Genomic DNA, 15512 nt, shown 5'->3' with positions numbered 1-15512 from the left:
AGCCAAGGTTCTATGCAGGTGAGGGGCTGGGCCTGGAACCAGCGTGAACCGCCGCTGGGCCCTGTCCTCAGGGGCTTCACAGACAAAGCGGGAAAGCCTATGCCACGTCTCAAATTAGCACTGCCAGATGCACGCTACATGAGCTCCAGGGTAGAGACACGAGGCTGGGCAAGGGTATTGCTAAGACCATGAAGGAGCTGTTTCTGATTTTAGATAATGGAATCAGAATCTATGCATGATTGCTTCCTTAGCGCTCCAAAGAAAACAATTTAGAATGAATAAGCTTGCCAGCTCTGTCATGTAAATGCCAATACCTATTGCTTTTTCTGAATAGCTCTAAGTTGAAATCACAGATTTTTCAAATGACAGAAGTAATGGCATAACTGGTCTGGAGAGAAAGATTAGGTATTATATTGTGAATAGGGTGAGGATATAAGAAGTGCCTTAACAACATCATATACTATATAATCATTATTGGATGACCCGCATTAGAAGGCTGGCAGAATTCTCACTCAGTAATTCTGCTTGGACAGAATTCCCACTTAGAGCATAAAACCTTCCTTCAGAATTTACATACTTAAATTATATTTATATAAATTATATATTTAAATATTATATTTAAATGAATTGAGGATTAGCCGGTGGGGCACAAAAATAAATGATTCATTCTTTCCATTTCCTCTTTAAAGAAATGAATAATACTACAGGGACAGTTATTAGCTCAGACAGAGCAGGTCATCAAAACACTTGAGTCACCCTAAATTATAGGCGGGACACTAAGCAGGACACAGAAAGAGACATACTATGAGAGAATTTATTTCATAAGAAAATATTAATTTTCTCATAATCAAATTATTCAGATTTACCTTAAAATAACAACTATTGAGTGCTGAATATATGCCAGCCACACAACTGAGTATCTTTCACACCTCTAATAACAAACGAAGTAATAAGTAATATCTCCAATTTCCAGATGAGGAAATTGAGGCTTGTAGGGAAATACACAGTTTGCCTGCATGATAGAGCTTGATAGTACCAGAATTCAAATCCCAAGGACTCTTCACTCCAGGCTCTGTGCTCATTCTACCATTCTATGGAAGCAGAGAATAAGCCTATAAGAATTGTAATGAAAGCCGTGAAAGTGTTTCTAGTGGTATTTTAGCAGAGGATTTTCCTGTGAAAATCCAAGATACTATTTTCAGGACCATGTAGGGTGTCGCAGAAATTTAAAAAGATGGTCACCTAACTATTGAATCCCTTCATCTTGTGAACAAGAATTTGAGAAATGTTTAGTTCTTAGCATTTCCTTGTCCATGAAAAGAGTGAACTTCCACACCTAATAAAGATGACCCTTATTACATTTCCCCTCATGTGCTGTATCTTGAAAAATCAGGCTTTAAGCTGGCTCATAAAAATCTTTGCCTCTTATTTCTATAATCAAATATTTCAAAGTATTAGGGCTACTGAATTATAGTAGTGACTGAACATTTCATTGCATTATTATTTCTTTAAATTATTTTTTTTAGAAATAGAGATGAGATCAGGCTGGTCTCAAACTCCTGAACTCACTCATTCCTCCTACCTTGGCCTTCCAAAGTCCTAGGATTACAAGTCTGAGCCACTGCACCTGGTCAGGGACCAAACATTTGAACGGCTATAATCAGAAGAAGATGTTTTGTCATGATAGTTAATAAATTTCACAGTTTTTTTTCTTCTTTAAGTTCCACATGCTGAAAAGTCCAAAAGGGAGGCTGCATTAGAGCTCTTGCGATTTTTCTGGATCAGTTAAGGCAGTTATAAAATAAGCTCTTACTATCATTATCTAGCAAGGGTTTATGAATAGACTCAGTGCCACTGTTATAAGTCACTGGAATTTCACTGTCAATTAAACAAATCAGCCCTTACAGACTACACAAACAAGTATGAGTTTCCACTCAGGCCCAGTACTCTGAAGAAAAAGGACAAGAAAAGGACCCCTGTTAATGGGCATATCGGGGGTGGTCTAGGTTTGAGACTTCTCAGACCAGAAGCAGGACTGCCCTTTGTTGCCATCTGAAGGAACAAATATCTAGGAAGATTTCAGCTGGGCACTTGATTTTTAAGTGGTGACTTTCCTTTCTGGAGAAAAGTACTCAAACTAAGCTCTTGGGGCTCACAGACATTAAAATTGGAGGAAAGTGCCCATCTGAGACCAAAGGCCATGTCTGCAAAATGAGCATGTACTTCTTCTTATTCACGCAACTGATTCCAAAGGCCAGGGAACAATTGCTTAAAACCTTCTCCAAACCAGTCTCCAGTGAATCGCATGCTGACGAGTGGTGTGCAACACTTGGGTAGCAAGTGAGTATCTCTGGAGAGCCCCATGCTGAAAAGGCAGGATAACTCCACTTCCACAGGGAATCAGGAGGGAGACTCAAGCCAATGTTTATCCTGCAAAGTCTTTTTTTTTTTTCTTTTTAGACAAGGTCTCATTCTTGTTGCCCAGGCTGGAGTGCAGAGTCACGATCACGGCTCACTGCAGCCTCGACCTCCCTGGGCTCAGGTGATCCTCCCACCTCAGTCTCCTGAGTAGCTAGGACTACAGATGTGCACCACCACGCTAATTTTTGTACTTTTTTGTAGAGATGGCATTTTGCCATGTTGCCCAGGCTGGTCTCCAACTCCTGGGCTCAAGCAATCCTCCTTCCTTGGCCTCCCAAAATATTGGGATTATAGGTGTGAGTCACCGTGCCTGGCCCTCTAAAAGTCCTTTTCCTTTTTTTTTTTTTTTTTTTGGTGGATTCTTGCTCTGTCACCCAGGCGGGAGTGCAGTGGCACAATCTTGGCTGACTTCAACCTCTGCCTTCTGGGTTCAAGCAATTCTCCTGCCTCAGCCTCCCGAGTAACTGGGGTTATAGGCATGAGCCACCTTGCCCTGGCATCTCTCAGTCTTCAAAAAGAGATTTAACAATTAATCCTCGACTCTTATCACTAGGAAAACAAACAAGGCCATCTCTTCTCTTTGGCCTAAAGGAAATCAAGTCGTTCTTTGTAGCGTATGCTATTTAAATATGGTAGAGTAGGATAAACTTTCCCTTAAAAATGTTCAAAACCGAAAAAAAAAAGTTCCAAAACCACTTGGCACTTCTTGGGGGAAATAGTCAAGATTTGCTTCTGTACTTCTCTCCTTTCCTCCTACAAATAGCCTCTGCTAGGGCCATTCCAGGATGTTATTTATTTACTAGAAACCTGACTTTCCTTTCCCCAAGGTTCTGGAGAATCCAATCTGACCCCAAGAATCCCATTAACTTCCAAAGGCCATTTCCATGCCCTATCCCCACCCTGAGGGGAGGGGGCGGTTCGGAGGAGAAGCAAGCAACACCATATATTCTGAGATTTAGGAGCAGCAGTTGGAGAGGAAGGTACCTGAGGTTGGGAGGAAACAAGCTGTCCCCACTTGCCTTTTCAGCAAACACAGCTGCAGTTTCCAAGGGGAAGGTGGAGCCTGCCGAGGAATCCACATTCCTCAGAGGGTGCAACAGCCCTCACCTGCTGAGGAGCTATCACTGGGAAGGCGACAGATATGGCGCTAATCCCAAGGAAGTGCATCCCCGGGCCGGAGCTAGAAACACACAACCTTGGTAAAAAATCAGAATCTAAATAGGAATAACTCATACCTCTGAGCAATGGCTCAGACATCCACCTGGTCCAGTGATCTGTGAGGGGTGGATCACTTAAATACACCCTTGTTTAAAAACAGGCAAGGATGGCTTAAACATTATCTTAAATACAAAAACAACGTGGAGAGCAAGGAAGGCAGGAGAAGAGACGGCTGAGTTCTCTTAGCTCTCTTCCCCGGTGACCTCCCGCGGGCCACAGTGGCACATCCCAGAATTCAGGCACGAATCTGGCAGCTTTTCAGAGCCCGGGTGCAGGCAGTCGGCGCTCGCCGCGTGGGAAGGCACCTTTCCACGCACTGCCCAGGATGAGCGGCGACAGCGTTCTCAGCCTCCCTCCCCTAAGGGTCCGGCCCATCCCGGAGGCCAGGGTGCCTCTTCCAATTCGACTGAGAACTGTAATCCACACTCAATCTCTGCCCGCGCAGCGAGGCTGGGGGTGTGGGGTGAGGAAGGTGGCGGTGATAGGGGGAGATACGGTGCGGGATTAACAAAGAAAAAAATCGAACCCTGTTTTCAAACGAGCAGAACCAAGAGCTACTTGCTTCCCTTTCTACCCCCAAGCCCCTTTGATCATTTTGGGTAGAGCAGGAACCAGCAGCTCAAGGAGCACTCAAATGGGAGTCCCAGAGGAGCTTTGTTCTTGGTGTGCAGTAATTAGAGCGCTTGGGGGAAAGCCCCCGCAGGGGGCCCGAGGCTAAGGCCGAGGGGGCATCGAGGGACCCTGCATGGAGTGCGCCAGCGCCAAGCCCACCCTCAGCCGCACGCGGCCTGGGCGCAGAGAGCGCGTGAGGGTGCGCGCATCGCCCACCCGCCGCGCCGCTCACCTAGCACCACCGCGGCCACGGTGGACAGCAACACCCAGTTATTCTTCAGGAAGCGCTTCCACTCGCATCCTTTCCTCGCCGGTTTCCCCATGGCTGTCGCCGCTATTGTGCGCTGGGCTCGGCCGTGCGCGCGTGGGCTGGGCGACCCGGGGACTGCTGGCTGCTCGGCGGCGCGGCGAGATGCGGGTGCACAGGGGAGAGGTGAGAGCCGGCCGCTGCAGTCGCCGCCGTCACCACCGCCGTTGCCGCCGCCACCCGGGATCGCGCACCGCGCCCGCCGCCCTGCCAGCCCGGTAGTTTTGCGTGGCAGGCGCGCCCGGCTCCTCCTGCTGCCGCCGCGCTCTGCGGCGCCTGGGCCAACCAGCGAGGAAGGAGGGAGGAGCGGCAGGCCCGGGAAGGAGGGTGGGTGCGTGCGTGGGACGCCCGGGGTCCCTAGGGAGCAGGCGTGGTAGGGCGCCCAGCGCTGCGGCAGGAGCTGGGGCGGCCTCTCCGGGAACCCTGAGTCCCGCCCCACAGCCTTCCACTGGAGTCTGTCTCGCTTTCCACGCCTCACTCATGCTAGGGCTTTGGGTTAAGGGTTTTCTTCTGTCCCTAACCCAGAGAGGCGGAGCCACTGCCCTCCTGGGCGCGGACTTCATCCTGCACGTCTCCCTCTCCGTTCTCCACACCAGCTATTTCCAGCGCCGGCACCTGCAGAACGGGTGCCCTTTCAAGTCGGGGGAAGCTGATCCTGCCTTGGGTCCCTCTTGCTCGGCTACTCAGGCTGGGATGTGCCAGCAGCCGCGAAAGCCTGAAGCTTCTGGGAGGAGAGAAAGGAGTCCTGGGGCAGAACATGGCTTTGGAAACTTTCACGCGGAGCCTCCAGTGCCCCCACAGGGATTATTCTCCTCTTCGAGTCGCTGGAGGTGATTTGTCTGTGGACACTGGGCTTGGGAGTGTTCCCTGCACAAGGAGATGGTGATTTCTCTTAGAACTTTACTTCTGCTCCTTGGGACTTGCTCTGTGACCACAGGCCCTGGAGCATGGAGGCTTGGGGCAGTGATTAGAACTGAGAACCGGACCCGGGAGCCGCTCTGGGGAGAAAGTGGGCGGTCCATCCCCTAAGGTCCAACGGATTGGAAAGGCAAACACAGGAGAAACTAGGTTAGTGGTGCCAAATATATTTGGTGTTGCTAAGTGAATTTCTGATGCTCTTCCATTTTTCTACCCAATTTTTTCACTCTCACGTATACAATCTCTTTCCCTCCCTTTACCAAATCAGTACCTCCGCAGCTGTAAGCGGTCTTCTTATCAGCGTTCCTAAAGTTAAGTGAGCCTGGAACCCTTTTTGCTATTGTAGAATCTACTCTGATTGTGGGTAGGGAGAATTTCCCCTACTAGATTTTCTGATGACTAAATCCCCACAATTAGAGCTTCATCCCTTTGGTGTAAATTGATACAAGCATCTTTTAAGCGATAATAGATTAAGATTTACAACCCTGTAGACTTTAGTATGAATGAGTTTATCAGCTCTTTATAGAAAGTAAACTTTGAGAGAAAGAAGGTTAGAGGGATTTTAAGGTCGTTGGGTGTCCGAGGAAGATCTGAAGAAATGTCAGAAGGGGACCCGGGTGCGGTGGCTCTTGCCTGTAATCTCAGGACTTTGGGAGTCCGAGGCGAGCGGATCACGAGGTCAGGAGATTGAGACCATCCTGGCTAACACAGTGAAACCCCGTCTCTGCTAAAAATACAAAAAAATTAGCCGGGCGTGGTGGCACGTGCCTGTAGTCGCAGCTACTTGGGAGGCTGAGGGAGGAGAATCGCTTGAACCTGGAAGGTGGAGATTGCAGTAAGCTGAGATCAAGCCACTGCGCTCCAGCCTAGGCGACAGAGCGAGACTGTCAAAAAAAAAGAAAAAAGAAAGAAAGAAGGAAGGAAATGTCAGAAGGGAAACTATCAAGAAAGGGAGAATAGTCCCGGGCGCGATGGCTCACACCTGTAATTCCAGCAATTTGGGAGGCCAAGGCAGGCGGATCACTTGAGGTCAAGAGTTCGAGACCAGCCTGGCCAACATGGGGAAATCCCGTCTACCAAAAATACAAAAATTAGCCGGGTTTAGGGCCATGCACCTGTAATCCCAGCTATTCGGGAGGCTGAGACAGGAGAATCACTTGAACCCAGGAGGTGGAGGTTGCGGTGAGCCGAGATCACGCTGCAGCACTCCTGCCTGGGCGACCGGAGGGAAACCCTGTCTCATAAAAAAAAAAGAGAGAGAGCGTGCGCGAGAGAACAGATTTGTCCCACAGTAAAAAAACAGCTGGAAAAAACGCAAATGTCCAACATAAATGGAATGGTAAATATATTATGGAACTGCCAAGCAACAGTACCTTATGCAGCCTACATAAAGGAAGTTTATGAAGTTTTTAACAGCATGGGATGGCACATGTTATAAATCTATATTTATAAATATAAAGGGAAGAAAGAAATACTAAAATTGCATGTACAATTTGATCACATGTGTGTAAAATAAACATATTGGCCAGGTGCAGTGGCTCACACCCGTAATCCCAGCACTTTGGGAAGCCGAGATGGTAGGACTGCTTAAGCCCAGGAGTTTAGGACCAGCCTGGACAACATAATTAGACCACTGTCTCTACAAAAACTAAACCGACCAACCAACCAACAAACAGACGAAATAAAACCATGTGCTTAGAAAAAAAGACCAGAAGAAATATGCCAAAATTTTAACAATGGTCATCTTTGCCTTCTATCTTTTATATTTCCAAAGTGTCTACCATAGAGCTGGGCGTGTTGGCTCACAATTATATTCCCAGCAGTTTGGGAGGCTGAGGCAGAAGGATCACTTGAGGCTAGGAGTTTGAGACCAACCTGGGCAACTTAGTGAAATCTTGATTCTACAAAACTTAATAATAATAATAATCTGGCCATGATGGCACATGCCTGTAGTCTCTGCTACTTGGGAGGCTGAGGCAAGAGGATAGTTTGAGCCCGGGAGTTCGAGGTTGCAGGGAGCTATAATTGTACCACTGTACTCCAGCCTGGGTGACAGAGCGAGACTCTATCTATTTAAAAAAAAAAAAAAGTGTTGACCATAAGCATACCCATGCTCATTACAGTTGTAGATAGGGCAGTATTTACAAAATAAACATTCCTGAGGGGAGAAAAAAGTGGAAGCATCTGAGGAACTATGTGTACATCACAACTTTCTGGGTTGTAATAAGACAATTACACTAGGGTTCTCGGGGTAAAGTATTTAGGCTTAAATCCCAGCACCACCACTTATCAGCTTGGTGACCTTGGGCACCTGGCTTAAATTTTTTATGTCTCAGTTTCTTCATCTGTAAAATGGGGGCATTAATTATCTTTACCTCATGGAGGTATTTTAATAATTTAATACAATAATCTGTGTGAAAGGCTTAGAACACTCCCTGGCACAAAACAAATATCACCACCAATTTTACTTGGAGTCAACCTGGACAGGCATCTCTTAACACCATCTTTTAACACCTGCCTGTCATTAACACACTCTGAACCCCTTCAGACCCACGAGAACTCTTGCTCATTGATCATCAGGAATTGCCCATCTCTACTAAAAATACAAAAATTAGCCAGGCGTGGTGGCGGGTGCCTGTAATCCCAGCTACTCGAGAGGCTGAGGCAGGAGAATCGCTTGAACCCAGTAGGTGGAGAATATGACAAAAGAAATATGTCAAAATTTTAACAATGGTCTTCTTTGCCTTCTACTTTTTGCATTTCCAAAGTGTCTACCATAGAGCCGGGAGTGTCGACTCACACCTATATTCCCAGCACTTTGGGAGGCTGAGGCAGAAGTATCACTTGAAGCCAGGAGTTTGAGACCAACCTGGGCAACTTAGTGAAATCTTGGCTCTACAAAACTTAAAAAAATAAATAAATAACCTGGGCATGATGGCACATGCCTGTAGTCCTCACTACTTGGGAGGCTGAGGCAAGAGGATGGCTTGAGCCCAGGAGTTTGAGGTTGCAGGGAGCTATGATTGCACCACTGCACTCCAGCCTGGGTGACAAGAGGCCTTACATCACCCATTGCACTTTCACACTGGGAGGACCAAGGCCCTTGGTCCCCTGAAGGTTTGCTTCAAAATCACTGACAGGCAGATTTATTAATAGGAGAAAAGGCATACCAATGTATTGAACGTATACACACGGGAGACTTCAAAATGAAGACCTAGCCTCCCAATGAGGTCCAGAAGTTTATATACTATCTGGAGGTTACAGAAAGAATGGGGGCTTGAATCCTGGTAAAACAGGTTTTGGGAGGTGAAGAGAAGAGGAATTGCTGAGGGGATTACTAGGGAGAATGAATGGATCTCTGAACAGAGATTAATGTGTGAATAGTTCTCTTTGATAGTGAAAGTGTTCAGGTGTGGTTACATTCTTGGTCTTACAGGGAGGGGAAGAACAAGCAATTACTTTCTTTGATGGGTCTGAATCTTACGCAGATAAAGGAACTTCCACTTCTTTGTGGGAGACGGTGGCAGGGGAAGTCAGAGAGACCTTGAGGTTTCTCCATGTCAACATGTCAAAATGCCATATTTTGGGGTATTGGATTCTGAGCCCAACAACACCTAAAGCTCCTATAGTGCATACTTGTTTTATGTTCATTTAAATTATGCATTGAAAATAGTACAATATAAAAGATTTTAAAAATTTCAATATATACAAACATTTTGAAATAATAAAAATCTCCCCGACTAAAAGCAAAAGTCGGGCCAGGTGCGGCGGCTCACGCCTGTAATCCCACCTCTTTGGGAGGCCAAGGGGGGTGGATTCCTGAGGTCAGGAGTTTGAGACCAGCCTGGCCAACATAGTGAAACGCCATCTCTGCTAAAAATACAAAAAATTAGCTGGGCATGGTGGCAGGAACCTATAATTCCAGCTACTTGGGAGGCTGAGGCAGGAGAATTGCTTGAATCTGGGGAGGCGGAGGTCGCAGTGAGCTGAGATTGCGACATTGCACTCCAGCCTGGGCAACAAGAGCGAACAAAACTCCGTCTCAAAAAAAAAAAAAAGCAGAGGCAGGAGTCTCAAAAGTAGATCACTGGTAGTGCAATCCCCTGATGGGTTCTTGCCTGCCGCACAGGTAGAGCTGATTCACTGAAACACTGGTATTGTTGTAAAGATGGAGCTTAATTAATGCAAAGCTAGTCACATGGGGAGACAGGAAGTTATTACTCAAATCAGCCTCCCTGGAAATTTGGAGGCTGGAGTTTTTAAGAATAACTTGGTAGTCAGGATTTAGGGAACAGATGCTGCTGGTTGGATGAAGATGAAATCACAGGGGTGTGGAAAGTGGTCCTTATGCAGAGTCGGTCTCTGGGGTGGGGCTACAGGACTGGTTGATTTGTGGATCTGAGTGTAGTCAGCCAGTCCTCAGAAATCCAAGTCTGAAAAACATCTCAGAAGACCAACCTTAGGGCTGAGCGCGGTGGCTCACGTCTGTAATCCCAGCACTTTGGGAGGCCGAGGAGGATGGATTACTTGAGGTCAGGAGTTTAAGAACAGCCTGGCCAACATGGTGAAACCCTGTCTCTACTAAAAATACAAAAATTAGCTGGGCATGGTCGTGAGTGCCTGTAATCCCAGCTACTCGGGAGCCTGAGGCAGGAGAATCGCTTGAACCCAGGAGGTAGAAGTTGCAGTGAGCCGAGATGGCTCCACTGCACTCCAGCCTGGTCGACGGGAGTGAAACCCTGTCCCCCCACCACCCCCACCCCCCCAAAAAAAGGAAAAAGAAAACCAATCTTAGGTTCTACAATAATGATGATGTTATCTACAGGAGTAAATTGGAGAAGTTACAAATCTTGTGTCCTCTGGACCGATGGTTGGTTATAATTTATGCCTACAACTTAGCAGAATTCAGGCTCCCTTCATAATCCTAATCTTGTGTCTTTTCATTGGTTCTACAAAGACGATTCCTGACCTCCAATGAGGAAGGGATAGTTTTGGGAAGGGCTATTACTATCTTTACTTTAAGGTTAAACTATAACTTCCTCCTAAAGTTAGTTTGGCCTACACTGGGCACAGTGGCTCACGCCTATAATCCCAGCACTTTGGGAGGCCAAGGTGGGTGGATCACCTGAGGTCGGGAGTTCGAGCCTAGCCTGGCCAACATGGTGAAACCTGTCCCTACTAAAAATACAAAAATTAGCCAGGTGTGGTGGCAGGGCCTGTAATCCCAGCTACCCGGGAGGCTGAGGCAAGATAATTGCTTGAACTCGAGAGGCAGAGGTTAAGGTGAGCTGAGACTGAGCCACTGCACTGCAGCCTAGGCAGCAGAGCAAGACTCTGTCTCAAAAAAAAAAAAAAAAAAAAAAAAAAAAAAAATTAGCCTGGCATGGTAGCACACACCTGTGGTCCCAGCTACTCGGGAGGCTGAGGCAGGATAATCGCTTGAACTTGGGAGGCAGAGGTTGCAGTGAGTCTTGACCATGCCACTGCACTCTAGCCTGGGCGACAGAGCGAGACTCCGTCTCAAAAAAATAAAAAAAATAAAAAAAAAAAGTTAGTTTGGCTTATGCCCAGGAATGAACAAGGATAGCTTAGAGGTTAGAAGCCAAGTAGAGTCAGCTATGTCAGATTTCTCTTACTGTTATAATTTTGCAAAGGCAATTTCAGCGGGCCAAGTGGATTTTAAACTATATTTATACTATTGCTACATAGAAGTTCCATTTTAGCTGGTAATAACAACAACAACAACAAAAGCAAACACAAAGCACTTATATACCAGGCGCTCTTCTAAGCACTTGGCCCAAACTAATTCACTTGGTCCTCTCAGTATCTCAGTGAGGTGAGGATTATTGTTTCTTCATGAGGCTGCTGGAAGAATCAAATGAGATATGATGGCTTATCATCATTATCTTACAGCTGAGGAAACTGAAGCACAAAAAGATTCAGCTCCTTGTGTAAGTTTTCCCTGTCAGTAACAGGAGGAGAAAGGGTTGAGCCAGATGGTCTGGCTCTAGAATTTGTGCACTTAACCAACACCTCTTTTTTTTTTTTTTTTTTCCCAAGACGAAGTCTCACTCGTGTTGCCCAGGCTGAAGCGCAGTGGCATGATATCGGCTCACTGCATCCTCCGCCTCCCAGGTTCAAGTGATTCTCCTGCCTCAGCCTCTTGAGTAGTTGGGATTACAGGCGTGCACCACCACACCCAGCTAATTTTTTTGAATTTTTAGTAGAGATGGGGTTTCACCATGTTGGTCAGGCTGGTCTCAAACTCCTGACCTCGTGATCTGCCCACCTTGGCCTCCCAAAGTGCTGAGATTACAGGCGTGAGCCACCGCACCCAGCCACCAACACCTCTTATGTAAGGAACAAATATAGAGTTGTTACAAAAAAAACTAGCCGAGTTACATGTTGTATTTTGTGCAAGGTCTTTAAGAGTCCATTCACCTGTGTCCAGCAGACACTTTGGTCTCTAATGTGCTGTGCTCCATTGGGCACTAAATACATTTCACGCGGCAGTGGTTGAACTCCTGAATCCTCTGTAACTGCTGCTTGCAACCAATTTACGGCATTTCTCTGCCTAAAGCAAGATATAGTATATGAAGCATCACTTTGGGGGGATGTCTAGTGATACTAATCTTTAACTTCGATTCTTTTTTACTTTATTGTCCTCTAATAGTCATGGACACAAATGATCTCAAATTGAACAAAAGTTGAGAGGCATTTCCCTTGCAAGCTCTACTTGAAAGAACTTGGCCACTCAGCTCCTGGAAGAAAAAGTTCTTTCTCCAAGCCAAATTGAAAGACTTGTTAGAATGTTTTTTTCCTTCCAATAAATGTTAGCTTCTCTCTTTTTTTCCCTAAGTCCTTCAAATTCCACCATCCAAATAAACCTTTGGCTAGTTTTTATTAATTACATTTTGCTAGTATGCTGTTGCTGCTTTTTAAAGACTTAAGTGATTCTGGTATTTCCTTTGTTGTTATTTTTTTCCCTTTTTAAAAAATAGTTGACTCATGGCCTCTCCTGTTAGTTACTAAAGGAAGGAGACTTTGACTTTGCCACAAAAAGTTACATCAACAGACCATATATTAATTAGGATACAAATGAAAAGGGCATTCAGAAACAAAAAGTAAGACATCAGCTTCTGAGTATCTCTAGAAATAGTTGCCTGGTTGTATTCTATCATCATAAAACATTTATGGTTGATTGCTTTGTCCTCATGCGGTGGCAAGTGAGGAGGAGGTCATGGAGTACCAGAGTCTCCTTCAGCATCTCAGCTGCATGGATTTTCGTGACCCATGGGTGGGGAGAAAGATGGTGTCAGCGCAGCTAGACACACTTTTTAACAGTCTCTTCATCTTCCAATCTCAGTCTAGATAGAACTTATCTTGGAACTATAAATTGAAGAAGAAAAGAACTGTAACTCATTAAACTTTCACGACAATTCTCCAAGTAATATTTTATAAAGATACTATGGCTGGAAAGAACTTATCTATTAGTTATATGACCTTGAACTCTTGGCTTCAATAGAACTTTACCTCATGGGCTTTATTGCTCACTCTGACAAATTGAAGAAAAATTCCATTTCATTTTAGGATATGAAAGAAAAGTTCTCTGTCTGCCTCACACAAGCTGTATGTCCTTGACCAAGTAATTTAAACTTTCTGAAACTCAATTTTCTTATCTGAAGATACCATTTAAATTAATAAATGCAAATAGTCAATACATATTAAAACATGAAAAAATCTTCAATCTCACTAGAACTAAATACAAGTTTAAACCAATATTTACCAGCTAGGTAAAGATATTTTGACATACGTTTTTTAAAATTTACAATTGCAAAATTTATACTTTTAACATTATAAATTGTAAACTTAGAGAAGGTATGGAGAAATGGGTAGTGTCACACCCTGCGGGTAGACCCAGACAATGCTGTGACTTTTCTGAGGACAGTTAGGCAATTAGTAACATCAGTCATAAGTGCATGTATTCTCTAACTCAAACACTCTACCTCTAGAAACTTATAACGAAAAAAATACCCAAAGATGTGCACAAGGGCTCTTCACCCCAGCTCAGCTGGAAACAACTTAACTGTCTAGTAAAGTGAACTGGCTAAAGATTAAGTGTGTAAAAGTACACTAGATAATGAGACATCATTTAGAGATTGAAAAGCATATTTTAGCTTTGACCTGAATTACATGGGAATTACATGGGGAAATGAATTACACTGGAAAACGGTACACACACACACACACACACACACACACTTATGTTTTTAATTAATTAATTAATTAATTAATTTTTTGATGGGGTCTTGCTCTGTTGCCCAGGCTGGAGTGTAATGGTGCGAGGCTCACTGCAACATACACCTCCCAGGTTCAAGCGATTCCCCTGAGTCAGCCTCCTGAGTAGCTGGGATTACAGGCACACACCACCATACCCGGCTAATTTTTATATTTTTAGTAGAGACAGGGTTTCACCATGTTGGCCAGGCTGGTCTTGAACTCCTGACCCCAGGTGATCCGCCTGCCTCGGCCTCCCAAAGTACTGGGATTACAGGCATGAGCCACCACATCTGGCCTAGTTATGTTTTTAAATGCAAAAGTAAGTTATAAAACAGTAGATAGGGCTGGGTGAGGTGGCTTATGCCTGTAATCCCAGCACTTTGGGAGGCCCACTTGGGAGGATCAGTTGAGCCCAGGAGTTTGAGACCAGACTGAGCAACATGGAAAAACCCTGTCTCTACAAAAAATACAAAAAATTAGCCAGGTGTGGTGGTGCTTGCCCATGGCCCCAGCTACTCTGGAGGCTGAGGTGGGAGGACCACTTGAACCCCCGAGGTCCGGACCTCCAGTAAGCTGAGATCAAGCTACTGTACTCTAGCCTCAGCAACAGAGCAATACCTGTCTCAGAAAAAAAACCAGTAGGTGGGTTTTTTTTTTTTTTTCAATGAAGGTGTAGTAATTTATTACTTGTATACTTGAAAATATAAAATTTACAATATGCATTCTACAATTCCAATTAAATGTATGTGTGTGTTAAGGGTAATATTAAAATTATTAATGTGCTTTTTTTTCTTTTTGCCTTCCTGAGCACATGCTTTTTGCCCCGGTAGGCCAAGGCGTTCGTATGCTGAGGATATTATGATTTGTTACAGAGGAATTTTGAAAATGTGGTAACGTTCCACTTCTGTATGATATATAGCATTAGGTACAGGAAAGAGGATTATTGAGAAAGAATATGCCATATTCCTCCATTTCTTCATTAGAATATCTAAAGCTTGGCTGGGCATGGTGGCCCATGCCTATAATCCTAGCACTTTGCGAGGCCATAAAGGGAGGATCACTTGAACCTGGACTTCAAGACCAGCCTGAAAAACATAATGAGACACTGACTCTACAAAAAATAAAGTTAGACAGGTGTGATGGCACATGCCTGTAGGCCCAGCTGCTTGGGAGGCTGAGGTGGGAGGGTTATTTGAACTTGGGTAGTCTAGACTGCAGTGAGCTGTGATTATGCCACTGCAGTCCAGCCTGGGCAACACAGTGAGACTTCATCTCAAAAAAAAAAAAAAAAAAAAAAGAAAGCCCAGCCTGGAAAACTTGTCTCACAGAATTCTTCTGTAGTGTAAGAAAGACACGTCTCCACCTATAACATCTGTCACTCTATCACAGCAGGAGGTGAAAACATAGGGAATCAGAAGAAAATATTTTCTGGTCAAGGCCAGGCGCCGTGGCTCACGCCTACAATCCCAGCACTCAGCACTTTGGGAGGCCAAGGTGGGCGGATCACCTGAGGTCGGGAGTTCAAGACCAGCCTGGCTAACATGGCGAAAACCCATCTCTACTGAAAATACAAAAAAAAAAAAAAAAAAAAAAGAAGAAGAAATTATTGTGTGGTCAAGAGAATGATGGGAAGAAGGAAGGGAGACAGGAGAAGCGATGGTGGTCCTGTTTTCTCTCTCTAAGCTTCATCCAGGAAGGAGTGTATGTTAGAAAAAGGAGGGTAGCAGCTCTGTCTCCCACTCCCCAGATAGGGGTC

At 45.1% G+C, this 15512-nt stretch overlaps 2 protein-coding genes across 6 annotated transcripts in view, besides 3 other annotated features; one reads left to right on the top strand and one right to left on the bottom strand.

Moving 5' to 3' along the window:
- The window catches only part of SLC1A1 (solute carrier family 1 member 1), a 97002-nt gene extending 92216 nt beyond the window's left edge, over positions 1-4786 (bottom strand). For all 5 annotated transcript variants that reach the window (XM_011518007.2, XM_017015042.2, NM_004170.6 and 2 more), the window contains exon 1: positions 4484-4786. In XM_011518007.2, the coding sequence (XP_011516309.1) occupies positions 4484-4574 (91 nt within the window). In that variant the 5' untranslated portion in view covers positions 4575-4786. The remainder of the gene's footprint in view (positions 1-4483) is intronic.
- Positions 4559-4988: a silencer, noted in NCBI's record as "silent region_19742". NCBI's record gives its function as "represses an Ori minimal core promoter by ATAC-STARR-seq in GM12878 lymphoblastoid cells {active_cell/tissue: GM12878}" and the evidence as "EXISTENCE:reporter gene assay evidence [ECO:0000049][PMID:35858748]".
- The window catches only part of GLIS3 (GLIS family zinc finger 3), a 666339-nt gene continuing 655615 nt past the window's right edge, over positions 4789-15512 (top strand). The window contains exon 1 of the mRNA XM_047422890.1: positions 4789-5626. The gene's annotated coding sequence lies outside the window, so the exon portion shown is untranslated. The remainder of the gene's footprint in view (positions 5627-15512) is intronic.
- Positions 5139-5188: an enhancer, noted in NCBI's record as "active region_28146". NCBI's record gives its function as "activates an Ori minimal core promoter by ATAC-STARR-seq in GM12878 lymphoblastoid cells {active_cell/tissue: GM12878}" and the evidence as "EXISTENCE:reporter gene assay evidence [ECO:0000049][PMID:35858748]".
- Positions 8434-8523: a silencer, noted in NCBI's record as "silent region_19741". NCBI's record gives its function as "represses an Ori minimal core promoter by ATAC-STARR-seq in GM12878 lymphoblastoid cells {active_cell/tissue: GM12878}" and the evidence as "EXISTENCE:reporter gene assay evidence [ECO:0000049][PMID:35858748]".

Source organism: Homo sapiens, chromosome 9, assembly GCF_000001405.40.
Source record: "Homo sapiens chromosome 9, GRCh38.p14 Primary Assembly".
Classification (NCBI taxonomy): Eukaryota; Metazoa; Chordata; class Mammalia; order Primates; family Hominidae; genus Homo; species Homo sapiens.
Note: the sequence above shows the minus strand (reverse complement) of the source record. Positions and strands in the feature narration are given on the sequence as shown.